This window comes from Homo sapiens, chromosome 6 (genome assembly GCF_000001405.40).
Source record: "Homo sapiens chromosome 6, GRCh38.p14 Primary Assembly".
Classification (NCBI taxonomy): Eukaryota; Metazoa; Chordata; class Mammalia; order Primates; family Hominidae; genus Homo; species Homo sapiens.
In genome coordinates this window covers 28,461,494-28,484,508 of record NC_000006.12, presented here as the reverse complement: position 1 = coordinate 28,484,508, position 23,015 = coordinate 28,461,494, and the positions used below count along the sequence as shown (strand labels likewise).

At 39.5% G+C, this 23,015-nt stretch overlaps 2 non-coding genes and 2 pseudogenes across 2 annotated transcripts; 2 read left to right on the top strand and 2 right to left on the bottom strand.

Moving 5' to 3' along the window:
* On the bottom strand, positions 3,711 to 3,783 carry TRMEP1 (tRNA methionine elongator pseudogene 1; annotated as a pseudogene).
* On the top strand, positions 5,805 to 5,886 carry TRL-AAG4-1 (tRNA-Leu (anticodon AAG) 4-1). The gene has a single exon. It is a non-coding gene; the product is annotated as a tRNA-Leu (tRNA).
* On the bottom strand, positions 5,855 to 5,936 carry TRNAL47P (transfer RNA leucine 47 (anticodon AAG) pseudogene; annotated as a pseudogene).
* Positions 9,884 to 9,957, top strand: TRT-TGT1-1 (tRNA-Thr (anticodon TGT) 1-1). The gene has a single exon. It is a non-coding gene; the product is annotated as a tRNA-Thr (tRNA).
* Positions 9,958 to 23,015: the final 13,058 nt, after the last annotated feature.

Below are 23,015 nucleotides of genomic sequence, written 5' to 3'. Positions count from 1 at the left end.
CTGCACACATATATGATAACATAGAAGACAATATATATATATACACATTCTTTCAATGTGTGTATGTGTGTGTATATATATATATATGCATAATCATTGAAAGGATTAAAATCACAGAGAGTTTTTTCTTGTACACAGCAAAATAACCTGAACATCAATAACATTTGGAGATATTTGAGAAAGCCACACATATCTGGAGATTAAACCATGGAGTTCTAATAACCCATAAGTCAAAGAAGAAATCACAGAGAAATTAGAAAACACTTTAAACTGAATAAAACTGAAAATACAACATATCAAAATTTGTGGGATGCAACAAAAACCATACTTAGTGGGATAATTTTAGCATTAAACATTTATATTAGAAAGGAAGAAATGTCTCTAATCAATGTTCTCATCTTCTGCCTTAGAAACTTAGTAAAAAAGATAAGCAAATTAAATCCAAAGCAGGCAGAAGAGGAAAATACTAGAGTAAATGCCAATGAAATAGAAAACTGAAAAACAATAAGGAAAAACAATAACGTCAAAAGCTGGTTCTTTGAAAAGATTAACAAAATTGATACATTTCTAGCCATACTCTTCAGGAAAAAAAGAGAGAAGAGACACAAATATCACAAATGACAGTAGCCTGGGCATGGTGGCTCACGAACTAATTCCTGAGCAACATACCGAGACCCCATCTCTATATTTAAAAAATAAAAAATATATTAACAGAGAAAAACAAAAGAAACAAATGAAGGAGTAGATATCACTAGAGCTTCTACAAATAACAAAAGGACACAAGGAAATGTTATGAATGTATTTTACCAATAACTTTGACATCATAGATGAAATGGAAAAACTCCTTGAAAGACACAAAAAGTGTATTCAAGAAGAAATAGATAACCTAAATAGACCTACATCGATTAACTAAATTAAATCCATGCTTTATAACATTCTTACAAAGAAACAAAATCTGGCCCAGATGGCTCCAAAGTAAATTCTACCAACTTTTTAAGCAATAAATAATATCAATTTTACACAAATTATTTCAGAAAGCAAAAAAGGAGGCCACACATCTGAACTCACTTATCAGGCCAGCATTACCCTAATACCAAAACCAGACAAAGCCATACAAGGAACGAAACTGCAAACCAGTGTTCCTCCTAAGAAGAAAAAAAATCCTTAAAAATTCAGCAAATCAAATTCAACCATTTATAAAATGATAACACATCATGACAAAGCAGGACATTCCTGGGATTAAACTCCAAGAATCCAAAGTTAGTGAAACATTCAAAGGAAAGACAAATTGGATGTTTAAAACAAAAAGATACCGTTTACAAGAGCTTCAAAACTATCAAATACTTAAAGGTAAGTTAAAAAATGTGTGCAAGACCTGCACACTGAAAAACTACAAAAGATAACTGAGAGGAAGTAAAGAAGACTTAAACAAATGAGAGAAATACCATTGTCACTGGGTGGAGGATAACAAAGAGTGTAACACAGTCTACCACCAGAAGCAATAGTCCAGGATGTCAACCTACTGCATAGATTGTTTTAGTTTTTTGTTTGTTTGTTTTTGTTGTTGTTGCTTGCTTGTTTTTTTTGAGACAGGGTCTCGCTCTGTCACCCAGGCTGGAGTGCAGTGGCTCAATTGTGGCTCCCTACAGCCTTGACCTCCAAACACTGTGGTTGGATATACTGAGATAGGGATTCCTCAGGCGTAGACACGTCAGGCAACCATGCTTCCAAAGTCAGCATTGCCCAGCAGGCATTGCAATGCCATGTTTCCCTTTCACTGGAGGGCACAATTTAAGGTCCAAATACTTTCATTAAGCAGGAGTACCACCCTTCGTTGAGTTGTCCTTCCTGATGGTCCTTTTTGTAGTTGTTGCTTGAGTTATTCATTCTAGTGCTTTAACACCACCCCTCCCACTCTGGGTGCCTGGAAGTGATGGAGCAAATCAAGGTCATTGTACGCCATAGGAACATGCCCATTGCTGCATTATCTGGGCTGTGAAGAAGGTGCCTTGGTCAGATTAGAGTCTGAATAGATATCTGAACACATGGCAGAGGTGTTTCTCCAGTATTTCAATTTTGTTCTTCTTTAATGTTGTGTAGTTATTCTGCATCTTTTGCCTTTCCATATATACTTCAGGATCTATTTGTCAATATCCACAAATAACTGGCTGAGATGTTGATTGGGATTATGTTGTATCTATAGATCAAATTGGGAAAAATTGACATCTTGATAATATTGAGTCCTCCTAACCATGCAAAGGGAATATCTCTCTATTAGTATATTTCCTTTGATTTCACCATGTTGGCCTGGCTGCTTAATTATCTGTCCAACAGTCACTGGACCATATGGCTAGCCCATTTATAACAGCCCATGAGTCTATAAATAAATAGCAGGGAGTTGCTGTTGGAGTAGCCTGCACGGCCATCAGTACCTCACAGAGTTCAGCACATTGGGCAGAGGGTCCTCATCCACTCTTAGTCAAAGCGTGGCCACCCTTGGGGTGGAGGACCACTCTTCTTGCATGTGTCCTGACTTTACTCCCTCCAGAAAGAACAATTAGGGGTAGGGCCACGGTCTCCTGGTTTTTGCTATGGTCAAGTGACCCTACATACCAGCAAGGGTAGAAGGGGAGAAAGGAGTGGGGGTTCAGATGTGTATGGGGTTTTTGGACACTGAGGTTTAAAAGACAAGAATCCTGATTTCTCGCAAGGGTAGAGGTAAGCCGATAGCATTGGAGGGCTTCAGGAGTGACACCATGATCCATGGCAGGCAGGTGCTCATGCGCTATGGGTGGGGCCCTTTGGTCCATTTCTGACGGGGCAGGAGGACCTGCCTTTGAGGAGGATCTTGTCTCATAAAAGCCTCCAAGGTCACTGGGACGGGACCACGTTGTCCACATCTTGTCGGGGAGCAGGATCCTATTTCTACCTGTCTATTGCCTTCCCACGCAAGACAGTTATGACTTCATGGACAGTTTTCTAGAGGGTTCTTCCTCTTGGGGAAGCCTCCTGCAGTAGGGAATACAGCCCTCTTGTTCCTATCAACACAAACTAAGAATGGGATAGGTTTATCTCGATCCCTGTCCTGCTGGTTCTGTCATTGGGTGAAGGCAAAACTAGAGCTGCAACACCAGAGTTATGGTCAGTTTTCTCAAACTGCGCCAGTCGGGTGACATTGAGTTTGCACTCCCCGTCACCAAACAGATGCATCAACCAGGCTGCATGAGACTCCCCAGAGTTGGAGAAGATGTAACAGCAGAAGCAGAGATCAATGATGCAGCCATGAGCCGAGCAATGTGGCAAGGAATGGATTCTTCCCTAGAACCTCCAGAAGGAAATCAGCTCTGCCACATGTTGATTATAGCTCCCTAAGACCCATTTTAAACTTCTGTCCCCCAAAAATTTAAGATAATGCATTTGTATTATTTTAAGCCACAAAATTCATGGTAATTTTCAAAAGCTGCCATAGGCAACTGATACAGATTTATGGTATTTGGTGTAGATTGTGGTATTGTATAATACTGCAGTCAGGGCATTAAAATAGCATCTAGCTCACAAAGGAAGTTGGTAGGGTTCTTGAGGGACTGCAGCCTCATTTTTCAGTTGTGTTGTCTGTCAGTGATCCAGGAATCCAGATTTCATACCGAAAAGTTTAATGGGTGGGATATTTCTTTCTCAAGCAAAAGTATATGGAAAGTACAAAATCACCATGCCCTCTCTGAGGTTCAAGCTCGGGACCTTCAGATTATGAGACTGATGTGCTGCCTCCAGGGCTAAGAAGGCACTGCTGTCTTAGCAAATCCGTTAATTATACTCTTTCAAGTTTATGTGAACTTTCTGAAAAGTTAGATTTTAAAAATAGAGTGTAAAATGAGAATGTATGCTATGTCATGTGTTTACTGTCCTTCCAAGTATGTCGTATGACTTGCAAAAATCATCTCGGGACTTTCCCCTTGTTTAAATAAATGTACAACACAGTGGATTTTCCCACTGTGCCTTAAACACCACTTTCTCCTGGGAGATGTTAGACTTCATTAGATTGCACACTACCCCCCAGCACAACATGTGTAAATTATGTAACTAGAAGGTGACATATAGACGCAAGGGGACTGAGCTGGGTCCACAGCCTGAAGATTCGCAGCCGGAAGCAATGACAGACGCAGAAAGCAGATAAGTTCTAATGAGATCATAGCTGCAGGTTTACCTGGGTCTGAAGCTACACCTCCTTGCCTGCCAAAGTTCTCCTTAAAATCAGTGTCCCTAACCATGTCACCTGAAGGATCTTTACAGGTCTAGAGCCCCAGAATAGTGTAAATAGAGGTGAGACAAGGGGGAAGAGATGAGGTGAAATGATTGAGAAGGGAGAAACAATATACAAGGTAAAGCGATCTGACAAAGTGAAAATTGTCCGACGTTTGAAATTGTAGGGTTGAGGTGTAAATTTTCCACGTGCCATCTTAACTTAAGAAAAATAATTCACTCGACTGTCTTGTAAATATGTTACTTTAAAAAACTTCACTAACTGTAAAATGAGAGATCTCACTGTCATTCATGAGACTGAGCACTTGATATAAAAAGTTCAGTAAATGCTAATAAATGATACCAATACTGATAGTAAACTTCACTGAGTGCTTATTATGAGCCAGGTGCTGTTTTAAGCAATTTACATGCATTTGCTAAAAATAAAAATTCTGCTATAGTTTTTTAACTCTTTTATTTCAATAGGTTTTGGGGGGAACGGTGGTGTTTGGTTACATGAGTAGGTTATTTAGCGGTGATTGCTGAGACTTTGGTGCATCTGTCACCAGAGCAGTGTACATTGTACCCAATGTGTAGTCTTTTATCCCTCAACCCTCCCCCACCCTTTCCCCCGAGTCCCCAAAATCCATTGTATCAAAACATTCTGCTGTAATTTTTAAAGGCAAGTTTTATTGTCTCGGTTTTACATATGAGGAAAGTGAGATCCAGTGAGCTTAAGTGACTTGCCAATGACCCTGCAGCTATTAAGTGGAGCTGCTGGCATTTGAAATATTCCAACTGTGGCTCTTTTAAAAAGGGTCAGCATCTAATGGGACAGGTGGGACTAAATAAGAAGATGAGCGGCGTTGGGGCTGCAACAGGGAAGAAGAAGTCGGAGTGCCAGCCCAGACGGCGTTTGTGGGGTTGGAGCGAGCAGGCGACACATCCTGTTAGGGTCCGGAGAGGATGTGATACTCCGCACCAAATACAAACTGGTCCTCGCCCTGAACTTTAAAAACTAAGGTCATGAACACATTCAGCTAAAAAAGCAGGTCTGTTTGCATAGTTCTTTCCACCTCTTTCACAAGAGGGAATCACGCACAGACACATAAACCAAGACGCGAGTTCCGGGTGGATGGGGATGACAGCTCCTCTGTTTTCTGGTTGCAAACATCAAAAATAACATCTTGCTCCAGACCCCCAAACGCAGCTGACAAACTGGAGACTCGATCTCAGAGTCCTCAGAGTCCCCGTGCTGCGTCGGCCTAGGCGTGGGATTTCTAATCATGTTCTTAAGAACCGATTCTCTTGGGATTTGTTGGATATTAGGTACTGGCTTCCTGTCCCTTTACTCTCAGGTATTAGAAACAGCATGGGAGACAAATGCAAATCTCAGCTGCAGGACAAAGGACTGGGACTAGGAACCTATTTGTAGATTTTATCGGTAGTTGAGACCGCTACGGAATCATTTGTGTAGAAATGCTCTGAGAAAAAAAAATAGTAAGACGCAGAATAATCTTGTGTCTTTTAAATCATTAAGATGAGTCCTAATACTGGACTAGCGTGGTAGCGTGGCCGAGTGGTCTAAGACGCTGGATTAAGGCTCCAGTCTCTTCGGGGGCGTGGGTTTGAATCCCACCGCTGCCAGGTTTATTGCAAAATTAGTAGGGATATCTAAAGCTCATTGAGATTTGCAAGAAAAACATTTTCCACTGCGAGCACAAGGTAGGTATTTAATCCTGATAATGGTAGGTTGAAAACCAAATAGCAGCTGCAAAATCAGACTGCCATCAGTTATTTCTAAGACCTCCTCTCCAAGGGAGTATGTTCCTTTTTATGTTTTAAAAATGCTCATACAAAAAGTACAACTCACATGATTCAAAATTACAAAAATTCAAGAATACATACATAATGACAGTCTATTTGTGCCCCCACCCCATCCTGCCGGACACCCAATTCTGGACCCTCAGGCAACCAACCATATTAAAATCTGGAGTTCTATTAAAGGCATATTCTTTGCATATAGTTTTTTCACTATAAATACGCTTTCCAAACCCATTCTATTACACCTTGCCTTTTTCACTTTATGTATGTTGCAGCAATTTCCATGTCAACAAAGAAAGAGCCTCTTCCCTCTTTGTTTTGTCTGTATAGCATTTAGTTTTATAAATGTATCTGAATTTATTTCAGCAGCCATTTTTAACAATATAAATAATGTTGCAATAAATTAACTTGTATATCCGCATTTAATAAGTGCCTGGGATTAGAAAACGTTCTAAGAATGCAATCGCTAAATCAAATCATATGTATGTGATGATGATTTTGGTGGCTCTTGCCTTATTCTCCTTCCCTAAATATTACTAATTTATTCTCCTATAGGGCCCAGAAAGGACCTGTTTCCTCAACACCCTGACCAGCACAGAACATTGTAATAATGACAATTATCAGTCATTTAGCTCCAACTAAGCCCCAGATATTGTCATAAATTCTTTACATATATTGAGTCATAGAATAATCTCAATAATATATAAGGATGTTCATATAATCCACATTTTACAGAAAAGAAAATTGGAGTTGTGACCGATTAATCACATAATCACAGTCGTCTAAATCACATAGATTGTAGATGGAGGAATAAGAATGTCAGTGCCTGTGATTGAATGAAAAATGCCCCAAAAGATATCCATGCTCTAATTCTTGGAATCTCTGAATATTACCTTACTTTGCACAGACCCCCAAAAGGGGGGTCTTCGGAGAAAAAGTTAAAGATGAAGAAATTATCCTGGATTATCCAAGTGGAGCTCAAATACCATCACAAGTGCCTTTAATAGGGAGAGGCACAGGGAGATTATACAGTTACAGAAGAGAAGAAGACAATGTGACCACACGGACACAGATAGAAGCAATGCCACCACCAGCCAAGGAATGCGAGCAGCCACCAGAGGCTGGGAAAAGGTAAGGACATATTCTTCCCTAGAGCCTCCGGAGGGAGCATAGCCCTGCCAACACCTTGATTTCAAACCAGTGATACTGAGTTTGGACTTTTGGCCTCCAGAACTGTGAGAAAAGAAGTCACTTATTTTAGGCCATCAAGTTTGTGGTACTGTAATTTGTTACAGAAGCTACAGAAAACTAATTCAACATCTTTAAGTGCTATTCGGCACACTACCACAAACAACTGTTTTTGTTTTGCTGTTGTTTGCCAATCTGATATGTTAAAGACATTATCTCACTGTATTTCTATAGTTTCATTTTTTAAACTTCTTTTACTTCTTACTTCTATATTGCTTTTATTATTAAATTGGTTGCACCAACTGGGAACAACAGATTTTATTGTGTCTGCTATCAACCTTATCTCAGGCAACAGATAGAAATGAATAAAATTAACTCTTTAAAACATAAGTTACAAATATTTTCCCCCCCAGTTTTACTTGATGTTTTGTCACTGTGTTTATGCCTTTTTTGAGGGGATGAGGGTACATCCCAGTGGAATTTTTTAAATGTTGTTTAATGCAGTGAATTATGTTAAACTCTCATTGTCTCTGAATTTTGTGTAAAAAATTAGTTTTCTGTACCAAAGTTATATAAAATTTCTGTCTTGGAATTTCTAGTAATTATAACTGTGGGTTTGTTTCATTCTTTACTTTTACAATTTGCTTGTATTTGGAATTTATTTTAGTCTCATAGCTTTAAGCTTTTCTTTTCCTAAGTGGCTGTCCAATTAGCCCAACACATGTTTTGAATAATCTGCCTATTTCTATTGATTTAAGTTGCCAATGATTACAGTCTTAACCATTTTTTTCTCTCAACTTTTGAGTGTTTCCATTGGAGAAAAAAAACTATTTTGGTGGCCTAACAATGGTTTGTTCACTCTCTCATAATACCTGAGCATGTCATTTACTCAAGGCATACATTGACAGAAGATTCAAGTGTGGGAATTCAGTATGTCTGTTGTTTACTATTCTATTTATGAAGCAGCAGAGTCAGCCTCAAACATATTAGCAATCCCTGTTAATGTTTTTATAAATACAAATATTTGTTATTTTTAATTTTCTAAAAGTAATACAAAGTTGTAACTAATTTAAGCTTTTATTATTAAATTAGTTGCACTGACTGGTGACAACAGATTTTATTGTGTCTGCTGTCAACCTCATTTCAGGCATAGATAGAAATGAAGGTGATTTCCTTTATTTTTAAAATCTAATAAATGTAATCCTTTATTAAAATTGTGTCTGTGGAAGATTCAAAATCTACAAACTATTAGAATTAATAACTAAATTTAATAAGGTGTCTTTATGCAGGGTAAATATAAAAATGAATTGTACTTTTAAACACCAGCTGTAAACAAGGGCTGGGCGCGGTGGCTCACGCCTGTAATCCTAGCACTATGGGAGGCCAAGGCGGGCGGATCACTTGAGGTCAGGAGTTCGAGACCGGCCTGAGCAGCATGGTGAAACTCCGTCTCTACCAAAAAATACAAAAAAATTAGCTGGGCGTGGTGGCATGTGCCTGTAATCCCAGCTACTCGGGAGGCTGAGGCACAAGAATCTCTTGAACCTGGGAGGCAGAGGTTGCAGTGAGCCGAGATCGCGCTATTGCACTCCAGCCTGGGTGACAGAGTAAGATCTTGTCTCCAAAAAAAAAAAAAAAAGTAGAAATAAAAAATTTTAAAGTATAATTTATAATAACATAAACATCAAATTTATAGGAATAAATTTAATAAAAGAATAAATTGAATGTTATGCCATATGTATGGATTAAAAGTTTATCAGTTCTCCCTAAAATTTATCTAGCAATCCAAAGGAATTCCCATCTAAATCCCAGGATAATTTTCCTTATTGCTTTTGTGGCAAAGAAATGAAGGTGATTTCTGATTTTCGCCCTGAGCTCTGTAATTATAAATCTTGGTAGAAACTTCAGAATTAATTGCTCAAATAATTCATTTTGGAAACAAGACTGAGATTCCAGAGAACGTTCGGAAGTTTCCTTTAATCAGCTCTAAATGTATTAACCTTTCCTAACCCAGAGACACATTCAAACCGATTCCCCTGTCTTGCCAAGTGCAGCCCAGAGAAGTAAGATATTATAAAATAGAACCTGACTGGTCCTGAGAGCGAGCTGAGATCAAGTCTAAAGAAAAATAAGCCCAGAAGACAATCTCTAGAGCGATGCTCACATTGGGAAGGGGTTGACGCTCCGGTCCTCCAAATAGCTGCCTCCTGAGTGCAAATGACTGTCAGAACACCATACGCCCAACTCGGTAGCCTACGAGTCTCTTGTGGACTTCTTTTGTTAGAGGTTTTCCCTTAGGACATTGGAACGACGAATCATTAAAATGATAAAGAGTAGCACCTGCAAAATTTAATTTTAGGAAACTTTATCACATTTGGACAAACTAAGTAGCCTTGACTTTTACTTGTGGTTATCCTTGGACTAGCTGAAGCATTAATGGTCCTAACATTTAAGCTGCCCGAAAATTTTTTCGTTTGTATTAGTTCCGCAGTGCATCTAAGTAAGCAAAACGTATTTTTGGAGTTTGCCCCTTCTCTCACGGCAAACTGTTGCAGACTGTAGAGACGCTATGCCAAGAATCTTTTACTTAAAAGCAGGAATAGATTCAATAGGCAACTTCACTGCACATGTAGGCTCTATGGCTTAGTTGGTTAAAGCGCCTGTCTTGTAAACAGGAGATCCTGGGTTCGAATCCCAGTAGAGCCTTAAGGTTTTCATTTTCACTAGAAAGCCAGTTCTTCATTAACCTCGACTGTACCTAAATCTTCCACTGTATTCACTATACTGCAAGTTCTAATGCAATCAATTATAGGTTATGTGAAGGCAAAATTCCCAGGCTCAAAGAAGAAAATGAGAACTTTGTGAAGTTTTGAATTAAATTCTGGCAGCAGATCTTTTTTTCCAACAAATATTTATTGAGCTTCTCTGTGTATGCACAGATTCAAAACCTATGTAGATGTAGATTATGTCATCCCTAGAATCCAATAATGTCCAGCTCTTTGGCTGATTTCAGAAGAGTTCATATAAATTAATATACTACCATAAATTAATAAGTCTACCATAAAACAGATGGGAAATTAGCATATTTGCAGGGTCCTACTTGCCTTTTGAAGAGAACAGGAGGAAAATAATTTTTAAAACCCTGTTAACCCTCTTATAAAATGAACTAGGAACACTTTATAGTGACAGCCAGTTAGAAGCTATATTTGCCAGAGGCTGGTGCATCTCTGGGGCTGGAACAAAAGTGCTGAAGGAATAGAGCAAATCAAAGAAAATTTTCAAACATCCAAAGCTAATAAGGGCCAACCTTACTTGATTAGTTTCATTTGCATGTGTTTGCATATCTCATTATTTTGACCGTTAATTCAACACAGACGTATTGACTGCCTTCTATGTGCAAGGTACTGCTCCAAGTGCCAGGGGTAAGGCAGTTTAATAAATGCCAACCCCTCACCATCCCTCCACCCCAAAAAAATCTTACCCTCATGGACCTTATTATCTAGAAGAGTATGGAAGATAATGAATAGATAAAAACATAAAATAAATATTATGTCAGATTGTGGTGAATTCTATGGAGAAAAATTAAGCAAACAAAGAAGACGAGGAGTGTATGAGTAGAAACCAAGATTTCTATGCCCTTCTTATAAGGCACTAGCAGATCTATTTTTTGTTTTCCTTTATCTTTTATGAGAAGTGATCTTAGGATGACTCTGATCGCCATGTTATTCTAACAACCCTAGGTAACATCCTTAAACAGTGAATTGACTTTCAACTTTACCTTTGCTGCACCCTATTACATGCTGCCCCTCATTAGATCCCGACCCTGGACAGGGATCCATTCGAAGTCATATCAGAATGCCTGCGTACATCCCTCAGCTGTCCTCTTTAATAACTATGTAGTTTTGGCAAACTACATAACTTCACTGGGCTTCACTTCCCTTGTTTGTTTAATGATAATGGAATTGTTATAAGAATGTTTTCAAGAATAAATACAAATAAATTACTTTTTAACAAAAATGCTTTCAATAAGGGTCAGCATTATTATTATTATTTGAACAAACTTTTTTGGGGCCAAGTGTTTCGTTCTTTAAACCACACTTTAAGCTCTTATTTCATTTTATGATAAAAATCCCAAAGCTTAACAATTTACTAACTTCTACTAGCAAGTAAAAAAAAACTATCTTTTTTTCTATTCATATATGTACAGAAACAATACAGAATTTTAAAATAATTAGGGAAATAGATCAACAGTTAAATAAAATATTTAAGAGAGTGCATAAAAATGTTAGCCTCATATATTCTAATTGAGGTAGCAAACATATATAGAAATTTACACAATAATAAAAATCAGGATCATCATGATTAAATTACATGCCTAAAAGCTCTTCTCTGAATTAAATTATGCTATGCACAAAAAATTTGGTTCATAAATATGCATTTTGGTGCATTCAGTGTGCTTTTGATTATGGCCACCAAGTATTTGGATATGTAGAAACACCTCAAAGCATTTCTAAGTTTAGCAACATATCTGTTTAACAGATAGAATTATGCTTCTGTTTTATTTGCTTTTTGTGAAATTTCTGAATCTCAAACTGCTATCAAAAGACTACATCTGGATAATAAATTATTTGTAGAATAGAAAAACAATGAAGAAAACATCAAACAACTGTCATTGACAGTGGAACACTGTGTATTCAGAAAATAATTGTAGCACATCATAATGTAATAGATTCTGGCTGCATATGATCATAGTGGCCAATTTCATTATTTTTATTTATTCAAAAACGCAGTAGACAATCCACACGATTTTGCAACTGTTTTCTTTTTTTTGTACTTTTTTTTGTTTTTTTAGTAGAGATGGGGTCTCACCGTGTTAGCCAGGATGGTCTCAATCTCCTGACCTCGTGATCCACCCGCCTCGGCCTCCCAAAGTGCTGGGATTACAGGCATGAGACACTGCGCCCGGCCACAGCTGTTTTCTTATACAGTTGTAATGATTTTACATACTATGGAATAGTTGACCTAACATATTTTAAAAGTTGCATCCGATAGTCTCAATACTTCAAAACTTACTGATAATCACAAATTATTTGCCCCAAAACTAGACATATGCTGGAACTTGCTGAAAAAGTAACCAAAATAATAGGCCTTGGGAGCAAACGGTTTTCTTATACATCACCTATTAAAAAGATTCTCCTATCAGCATCCCAGGATGGAACTCATACTGTGACAAAAGAATATACCTGTGTTACAAATCTATAAAACAACTTCATTGAAGGAAGTAGAGTAGAAAGCTGCTGAACTAAGTAAATTTGGAAATATAGTAGAGTCTGCAAGACTAAAGTCAAAAAGAACTGTATATAACATTGTACTCTAGTTGATTAAGTCGTTTACCAGGGGAGTATGGATTAAAAATTCTGAAACCCCTCTACATGGGTACTGGAATTGAACAACTAAATAAATGAATGCTAGATGGTGAGAGCCAGGCTTCTCACTTTGGGAGGGAAATTTTATAGACAAGCAAGGGAAGAAGGCTAGAATGATACAGGTGGTAATGGATTAAAATTGGAGATATCAGTATGAACTCAAATTTAGCTTAATATAGATACAAATGGATATATATTTATAGATATTTGTGTGTATATAATATGTATACATATTATGTATGTACACATGAAACACACATGCATGTATTTTGTTGGTCTGTCAGCTGAGAGGGCCTAAAGGCAACAATATCCCATTACCAATAAGGACATCTATTGCCCAGATCTTGGTTTCTAAAACTGTTTTCCAATAAAAGGAACCAGGGCTCCTTGGAGAAGTGGTGAATTGTAGGACTGGGTAGGAAATATACAAGATGAGCCTGGAGAATCTTGTAGTGCCAGAAAGTATGAAAGTGCTCAGAAACAACACGATGATGAGGGTATGTCAAGGGACATAGAACTCAACTAAAAGTCTTTCTAATTGCCAAAGAACCTCTGCAGATCTTCAGAACTCTCCCTCTCTGTAGCCCTCTTCTCCTTGGTACTTTGCCCGTGAATTTTAGTTACTTTGGCTTCCTTGAATGCTAACTCCCCAACTCTAGAAGATAGTTGGGCTCTGTTTAGGTTCCTGTGACTAAATGAGTAGTACTTTTTATTTACTGATACTGGATTAAATTTATAAATTTAATATAATTTATATTAATTTATAAAGAAAAGTGATATATTTATGATGACCAATCCAAGAGCATAGAATGAATGTCCATTTATTTAGGTCTACTTTTACGTCTTTTTTCTTTGTTCTTAGTTGTTTAATGTGAATGTGGGATTGTTTTGTTTTTTGAGATGGAGTCTCTCTCTGTTGCCCAGGCTGGAGTGCAGTGGCGCTGTCTCGGCTCACTGCAGCCTCTGCCTCTCTGGTTCAAGTGCTTCTCCTGCCTCAGCCTCCCGAGTAGCTGGGATTACAGGTGCGCACCACCACTCCTGGCTAATTTTTGTATTTTAGTAGAGACGGGGTTTCACCATGTTGGCCAGGCTGGTCTAGAACTCCTACCTCAAGTGATCTGCCCACCTCAGCCTCCCAAAGTGCTGGGATTACAGGCCTGAGCCCCTGTGCCCTGCCATGGTGTGGGTTTTTACTACAGAAAATTCCTTCATTTCAAGGGTTCACAGGGCCCAGACAACCTGGGCTCCTTGCACTTACTTATGAATCAGAACCTGTAAAGACTCTCCCTTTTAGCCACTGTAATTAGATCAATTTGCTGAGCTTCTATTCTTAGGTGGAGCCCTCTCCTCCTTTTAGCAGGCGAATTTCTGGATTTTCCAGTTCTGAGGGCCATCAGACGTTCATTTCCTTTCTCCTCATTTCCTCTCTTACAGTTGTTGTACCTTGCATTTGTTGGTGAGTAGTTCCTACTCAGTCATATTTGACAGTTTGTGAGAATACTTAATTACCTCATTTTGTTGAGGATATTGCTGATGGGATTTTGTTTGGTTGGTTTTCTATCCTAATTGTTATGCTTTTTTAATGGAGTGATTCAGAAAGACTCAGCAGGTATATTACAGCAATCATCTTGCCACAAATCTTCTATTATTTTATACTTAACCAAAGTACTCTTTCTTCCTAATCAACATATTTAAGTGTATGTTTTTAAAAGGCAGGATTATTTTCTACTGTTTTAATGTGGACAATCATATCACTCATTCCAAGTATCACAGAAGAAATCTGCTTGTCTTCCAGAGTTAGTGTCTATAGTGTTTCCTCTTCAAATCACTTATTCTGAGCTCCTCTCCTGCTTGATCCAGTCAAGTCTCTGAAACGAGCTCACAAGCTCATAGCAGTCACTTCAACCAGATATAGTGAGAGGTGACAGCGTGCTGGCAGTCCTCAGAGCCCTCGCTCGCTCTCGGCGCCGCCTCTGCCTGGGCTCCCACTTTGGCGGCACTTGACGAGCCCTTCAGCCCACCGCTGCACTGTGGGAGCCCCTTTCGGGGCTGGCCAAGGCCGGAGCCCACTCCCTCAGCTTGCAGGGAGGTGTGGAGGGAGAGGCGTGAGCGGGAACCGGGGCTGCGTGCGGCGCTTGCGGGCCAGCTGGAGTTCCGGGGAGACGTGGGCTTGGCGGGCCCCGCACTCGGAGCAACCGGCCGGCCCTGCCGGCCCCGGACAATGAGGGACTTAGCACCCGGGCCAGCGGCTGCGGAGGGTGTACTGGGTTCCCCAGCAGTGCCAGCTCACCGGTGCTGCGCTCGATTTCTCGCCGGGCCTTAGCTGCCTTCCCGCGGGACAGGCCTCGGGACTGCAGCCCGCCATGCCTGAGCCTTCCCCCGCCTCCGTGGGCTCCTGTGCAGCCCGAGCCTCCCCGACGAGCGCCGCCCGCTGCTCCACGGCGCCCAGTCCCATCCATCACCCAAAGGCTGAGAAGTGCGAGCGCATGGCGCGGGACTGGCAGGCAACTCCACCTGCAGCCCCAGTGCGGGATCCACTGGGTGAAGCCAGTTGGACTCCTGAGTCTGGTGGGGACGTGGAGAACCTTTATGTCTAGCTCAGGGATTGTAAATACACCAATCGGCACTCTGTATCTAGCTCAAGGTTTGTAAACACACCAATCAGCACCCTGTGTCTAGCTCAGGGTTTGTGAATGCACCAATCGACACTCTGTATCTAGCTACTCTGGTGGGGCCTTGGAGAACCTTTGTGTGAATACTCTGTATCTAGCTAATCTAAGTGGGGACATGGAGAACCTTTGTGTCTAGCTCAGGGATTGTAAACGCACCAATCAGCGCCCTGTCAAAACAGACCACTCGGCTCTACCAATCAGCAGGATGTGGGTGGAGCCAGATAAGACAATAAAAGCAGGCTGCCCGAGCCAACAGTGGCAACCCGCTCAGGTCTCCTTCCGCTACGTGGGAGTCTTGTTGTTTTGTTTTTTGCGATAAATCTTGTTGTTCGTTTCTTGAGTCCACACTATCTTTATGAGCTGTAACACTCACGGGGAAGGTCTGCAAGTTCACTCCTGAAGCCAGTGAGACCACGAGCCCACCAGGAGGAACAAACAACGCCCAATGCGCAGCCTTAAGAGCTGTAACACTCACCGCGAAGGTCTGCAGCTTCACTCCTGAACCAGCAAGACCACAAACCCACCAGAAAGAAACTCTGGACACATTTGAGTATAAGAAGGAACAAACTCCAGATGTGCCACCTTAGGAGGTGTAACACTCACCATGAGGGTCTGTGGCTTCCTTCTTGAAGTCAGTGAGACCAAGAACTCTTAAAATTCCAGACCCAATAGCATTCCACCTCATACCTTCACATATGCTCTGCTGTTATGTACTTCGTTCATATTCTTTAGTATTAGATAAATGATATTTTTCCCAGGAAAACAACTCTCAGCAAAATACCTCTGAGGATAGGAACTTGTTTTTGTTTATTGTATTCCCAGAACATGGAAAGCCCTGGCATGTTATAGGTTTTTTTCTGAAATATGACTGCTTCCGTAGCGCTCTGTATTTCACCAGTCAGAATTTGTGACTTTTATGTTTAGTGTATTTTTTAATTGCGTTTAGAGATGGGGTTTTGCTATGTTGTCAACGTTGGTCTCAAACTCCCACCTCGACTTCCCAAAGTGCTGGGATTACAAGTGTGAGCCACCCGTATAAAGCCTGCTATTTTACTAGAGTCAAGAGTGAAGTTTCTGGCCACACAGCTAAACAAAATTAAGCTATTTAGACTGCTCTCAAACCTTAGCCCTGTGGGTTAGGAAACCTGAGTTAACTTTCCATTTTCTGTGAGGAGAAGTTAGCAGCCTAATAAACAGCTATTTAGCCATTTTAGTATTGGAGAAGTTAAATAGAAAATAAAATGTTAGATATCTATGTAGGAGGTTCTCCATGAAGAATGAACAGGCCATACGAACAAGCTGTATATGCATCTTGTCTATCTCTTGGGCTGTGTATATCTGCTTCTGTTTTGGATTCATACTCCGTTCATCTTGATTGTTTAGATTTACAAGTAGGAAGAAGGGGGAACTGTGTGACATAGCTCTGAACAACTTAGTGACAGCATCTAACAGCTTCTGAAGGGCAACTTAGAAAGGGAGCTTTGTGGATGAAAAATGTTGAGGTAAAAGTATTGTCAATTAAACAAGGATTTGGCCTTTAAAGCACTGTTTAAATTGCTTCTGTTCTACCTTGTCCAAAGGAGTGATTCACTTTGAGATATTCTTCATGTGATGGAATGAGTTAAAATTAAACCAGCCTGCTTAAGAAATAAAAGTAGGACCTTAATTTGATTGGCATTGTGCATAAGCCAGTTGAAAAAGATCATGAATCTTTTTTTTTTTTTTTTTGGAGACAGTCTTGTTCTGTCGCCCAGGCTGGAGTGACGTGATCTCAGCTCACTGCAACCTCCGCCTCCCGGGTTCAAGCTATTCTTCTGCCTCAGCCTCCCAAGTATCTGGGACTACAGGCAAATAACACCACGCCCAGTTAATTTTTTTGTATTTTTAGTAGAGATGGAGTTCACTATGTTGGCCAGGCTGGTCTCAAATTCCTGATCTCAAGTGATCCACCTGCTGTGGCTTCCCAAAGTTCTGGGATTACAGGCATGAGCCATTGCACCTGACCAAAAGAACATGAATCTTGTCCTCAAGAAGCTTTTAATATGATTGAAAAGACCAAATAAGCACATACCCCAAATACTATAGACATAAGAAAAACAATTGTTTACTCATAACGTGTGCAAAGCACTCAGTGTTTGAATTCTGGAAATGTGTGAGCCTTGCAAACCTTGGACAAATTACTTACCTTCTTTAAGTTTCAAATACCTCAATGAAAAAGACAATTAATAGTGTCCACCTCAAGGAGTTGTTAGAAAGCATTACATAATTCATGTAAAGTGTCTAGGATATATTAAGCTATTATTATCATTATTATTATTAACACAATATTTATTTGCTTTCTGAAAATTGATGGGGCAAATCTGCCTTCCCTTGCTATTAAGATGAGATTAATGAGTGGAAAAACTGATGCAATCTATAATCATAACCAAAATGGTAAATTCAAGACTGGGTTAAATGTTTCTCCAGGGAGATTCACTCACAGTGACAGTCTCTAAGGGATCACTTATATACTGGGTAAGAACTGGTTTTAACTGCCTTTAATCAGACTTGGAGTGAGAGAATGTTCTCTGCCTTCAGAATTACATTCACCCTACCTGCTGTATTAAGACCTTTTGTGGCTCTTATTTAAGCCTTGGCCTGATCGTACCTGCTCCCATCTCTCAGGACTTTCTCCTGAGACTTTTCTCCTATCTAGACTTCAATAGCCGACAATGCCTGCTTAATACAAGCTCAAATGGAAGAGGTATGCTCTAGTGATGTCTCTTTCTACTCACACCAGCCTAAATAGCCTTGGATTTAGTTTTATTTTATTTTATTTTATTTTGAGAGAGAAAATGAAGGTTCTGAATGCTGGATAAAATCAGCAAAGGTAAGATGCCTCAGTGAAGCATTATGCCAAATCAATGACTGTCACTTGTTCATCTCAATCCCAAGTTATGTCCAAAAGATCCAGTTGTCTAGGAAAAAGGAAGGCATGAGAGAGCAAGTCAAGTCACTAAACATCAATTCTCTAAAAGCCAACACTCTGAAGGTCAATCTGAGAATCAAACAATATAAACAATGAATAATAAGCAAAATATGGAGAATATTTTTGAGCGGGAAGGATCTTGTTTTGCTTTTCTCCTCTGCCATTCTATATGTTAATGCATTTACTTTCTGTCAAATGTAGCTTATTGTCTTCTCTGTTTGTGGAGGCATATTCCTTTGCCACTGCCTCTGCCTCTATATTTGTCCTGGTCCCTGCCCTTGGTCATTCACCAGCGGCAACAAACCATTCCTAGCCATGAATTCAGGTAGTTGTATGACATTTTGCAGATGAGTGGCTGGTCAAATTGACCTAGAGGTGACTGGAAGAGGCAGGAATCCAGCCTAGGATGAATAAATCCTCAAGCTAATCCTTACAAGCCAAGCTTAAAATTTACCATGTTTAGGAGGTCTTTCTTAATTAAATCATCTATTTCAATCAGTCCACACATAGGGGCCCCTTTCTGTTAATTGCATTTCTAATCTCCCAGCATCTCAGATGAAAGCTTCAGTTTCTTTTAACTCTTTCCTTTTATACCCATGCCTTGTTCTTGATTTCCACTGTCACTAAACAGCTGATCCTCTCAGCCTCTCTCCAGTAGCCTTCCAGACTTCCAGATGACCTCCTAACTTCGTGGCTTTTATTTATTTATTTATTTATTTTTCCACAAGAAAACATCTGCAAGTACCAGGCTCTTTTTTAATTCCCCATTTTGTCGCCATAAGAAATGTTCTAAAGTGCTGCTCCAATCATTGCACATCCCTCCTAAAAAATCTTTGTTTGATCAGACTTCTTAACCTAGTATTTAAGATTTCCATATCCTGAATCCAAGTTACTTTTACAGCCTGATTTGCCATTACACCACTTTATGCATGCTGTGCTGCAATAATCAATGATGTGTGTTTTTCACCTTTCAAACAATGCATATCCCTCTAATGTTCTTCATAATCATTTATAAATATTAAGATACCTTCTATTCTTTATTTTTTATTTTTATTAAATACATATATGTTCAAGGTTAAAAAGTAAAATAATACTATGAGTTTGCAATGTGAAATAGCAGTTGTCTTCCTCATCACTCCTCACCCTCAATTCCTGTTCTCCTGAAGCAACAGGCTCTTAATATTTCAATGTTTTCTTCTATTTGCCCATTTTTCATTGTTTTTTTTTCTTTTTCTTTTATTTTCTTTTCTTTTCTTTTTTTTTTTAAAGACAGAGTCTCACTCTGTCGCCCAGGCTGGAATACAGTGGCACCATCTCAACTCACTGCAAACTCCACCTCCCCAGTTAAAGCGATTCTCCCACCTCAGCCTCCCAAGTAGGTGAGATTACAGGCGCCCGCCACCACGCCCAGCTATTTTTCTTTCTTTTTTTTTTTTTTTTTTTGTATTTTTTGTAGAGATGGAGTTTTGCCATGTTGCCCAGGCTGGTCTTAAACTCCTGACCTCAAGTGATCCGGCACCTTGGCCTCCCAAAATGCTGGGATTACAGGCATGAGCCACCATGCCTGACCTATTTGCCCATTTTTCTAATAATGAGCTTTACTCTATTTGAATTTTTCAGTTTTAAATATTATTTCTTACTTATCATAAGAAAATAAGATCTTTTTAACCCTTAATAACAGAGAGCAAGCAAGTGAGCAAAAGAGAAAAACGTATGCCTCACCTTTCAGATACTCACATATCACACTTTGGGCTAGATCAGCATTCAAGGTTTACACTTTTTTTGTTGTTGTTGTTGAGATAGTGTCTCATTCTGTTGCCTAGGCTGGTATGCAGTGGTGTGATCACAGCTCACTGCAGCCTCGACCTCCCAGGTTCAGGTGATCCTCCCACTTCAGTCGCCAGAGTAGCTGGGACTATAGGCAGATGCCACCTCAGCCGGCTAATTTTTTGTATTTCTTGTAGAGATGACGTCTTGCTATGTTGCCCAGGCAGGTCTCAAACTCCTGGACTCAAGTGATCTTTCTGCCTTGGCCTCCCAAAATGCTCGGATTATAGGTGTGAGCCACTGTGCCCGGCCCTACACTTTCAAAATGCATAAACATTAGCCATGGTGGAATCATGTAATGACCTATAGTTACCTAAAAATCTCCTCTCAGTGAGTTGTGTCATACTAAGTGTGACAGATGTTACCAATTTCATTCTTACTCTTTTCTTGGAGACATGGCTCCTGGTGCCTGTTCAATCCTGGTTGTTTTCTAGCAGTATCCAGAGCCCTGCCTTCACCATTGCCTTGGAAGTTCCTGTCATCCTCTTGTGTGGGTTTTCTGTTTCTTGTATGTTTTCCTCTTTTTCTACTTAATCCCTTATTTTGGTGACACATAACCTCTGAATAGTGGAGTTCCAGCAAGAAAGAATAAAAAAAATAGGGCAGAAAATTAGCAAAGAGATTCATAATAAAAATATTATGGCAGGATAATGAGGGGTTAAAGATTAGAAGAGTTGGAAGTTGAGGGGTCATCTGGAAGGCTACTGGAGAGAGGATTGTGGCAGTGGAAATCAAGGACAAGTCATGGGTATAAGACAGATGAAGGAGTTAAAAGTAATCGAAGCTTTAATCTGAGATGCTGGGAGATTAGAAATGCAATAAACAGAAAGGAGCCTATATGTGAAGATTGATTGAAATAGACAATTTAATCAAGAAAGACCTCCTAAAAAGTGATAAATTCTAAGCTTGGCATATGAGGATTAGCTTGAGGATTTATTTATCATAGGCTGGATTCCCGCTTCTTCCAGACACCTCTATGTCAATTTGTCCAGCTACCCAGCTGGTGTCCCCAAGCTGGTGTCTCTAATAGCTTCCTAAGAAGCTGTTTCTGGAAAATAAAAACTACCCAAAAATGTCTTATTCTAATTTGATTGATTTTTTGCAGATAGAATTCTAGGTTGGAAATTATTTTTCTTCAGAATTTTTCAATCATTACCCCTTACCTTTTAACATCTAGTGTTGCTGCTAGTCCAATATAATTTTAATTTACACACACACACACACACACACACACACACCCCTTCTGGAAGTCTTTGGGATCTTATCCTGATTAGTCTGAAAATTCAAGAATAACACAACTAGACGTTAGTCTTTTGCCTTTCATTGTGCTGAATACCTGGCCACTCACCAGGTCCTTAGTTTGTCCTTAGTTTGGGAATATTTTTTTACTGTGAATTTCTTTGCTAATTTCCTGCCCTATCTTTAAAATTCTTTCTTGGTAGAACTCCACTATTCAGATTTGAACTTTGATGAGGGAGGAGGGAACACTGATTCTCTAATGTGCATTTTTCACAGAGTACAAGCATTTTTATTACATTCACCAGGGAGGAAATGTCTGGGAACAATGTTTCTAGTTTTTCTCAACTCTGTCATTCAGTTTTGAGAAAGGAAGAGGAATTTATCAGATTGGTAAATCTGACAGATGCAACTAAGCATGTTTGACTCAGCCACTTCCCTTCTGTCTGGTTGAATCCAGTCTGTCTTCAAGATTCATTCTGCTCTGCTTCTCCATACCCCGACCTACGCACAGATCCATTTTCTGTGTGTGTGTGTGTGTGTGGGTGTGTGTGTGTGTGCATGTGTTGAGTGGGTGGCTGTCCAATTGAGTCAATGACTGACAGGTACATCCTCTCAGGGATGCAGAAAAAGCAAGATGATTTGATTGCATAACTAAAACCATGATCTTCAAACAGCACTAACAACAAGGTGAACATTTTGACCTAAGTCTTTCTGGCATCAATGTCCATTTTTCATTTTGTTCTAAATTCAGGAAGAGAAGGCAGATGTGTTATTAATTAATTCCCCTAAACTCTGACAAGTCATGTACATAATCCTTTTTAATATATTTTTATTCATTTCTATATATTTTTGTTCTACTTTCTGAAAAATTTCCACAACCTTTCAGCCTTTTAAATTTTTTAATTTATACCATATTCTTAAGTTTCAACTGCTATTTCATGTACTTTGTACCCTCCCTTTTCCAGTAATCCTGTTCATGTTTCAAGGTGTCAATATCTTTTATATGTTATCTGAGAACCTCTCCTCCCTACACTGTTTTCATTCTGTTTATTTTTTTAATTATGTATTTATTTTTGTATCTCTAATCAGAAGCTTTCCTAGGACATTCAGTTATCCTGGTCCATTCCTACTTAAGAGTGAGACGCTACCATGCTAATTGACAGCTCTGTGTTAATATGTGGAGCTTGGCGATGTGTGGGTTTTGCTGTTGGGTGATCAAGTGCAGATGCAGATTTTCATTTTAAAATCTTCATTTGAAAATGTAGGTGTTTCCAGAACTGTTTCTCAAATGATAAATCCTCAAAATTCTTATTTAGACTGTATAGGCATGACTACCAATGTTCTGGTTATTGAAAGGGGTTAAGAGTTGGGGGTCTCATAAGTCAGCAGGCAGACTGTAATTTAGTTGCCCCATTTTAATTCGGCTCCGTTACTCCTGTTCTCAGGTTTGCTGGTGTCCCCAAGCCTAGGGTGCCTTTAGTTCACCCTTACAAAGGAGCAAACCTGCTGCCTTGTGCCAGGGTAGGGGAGAAACAGGTATTTGCTATCATTGAAGAAGTTGGGCATCCAGGGCTCTAGCTGTTTTTAATACAGTCTCTCAGACAATGCTTTTGCTTTCAAGTCCATGCCACA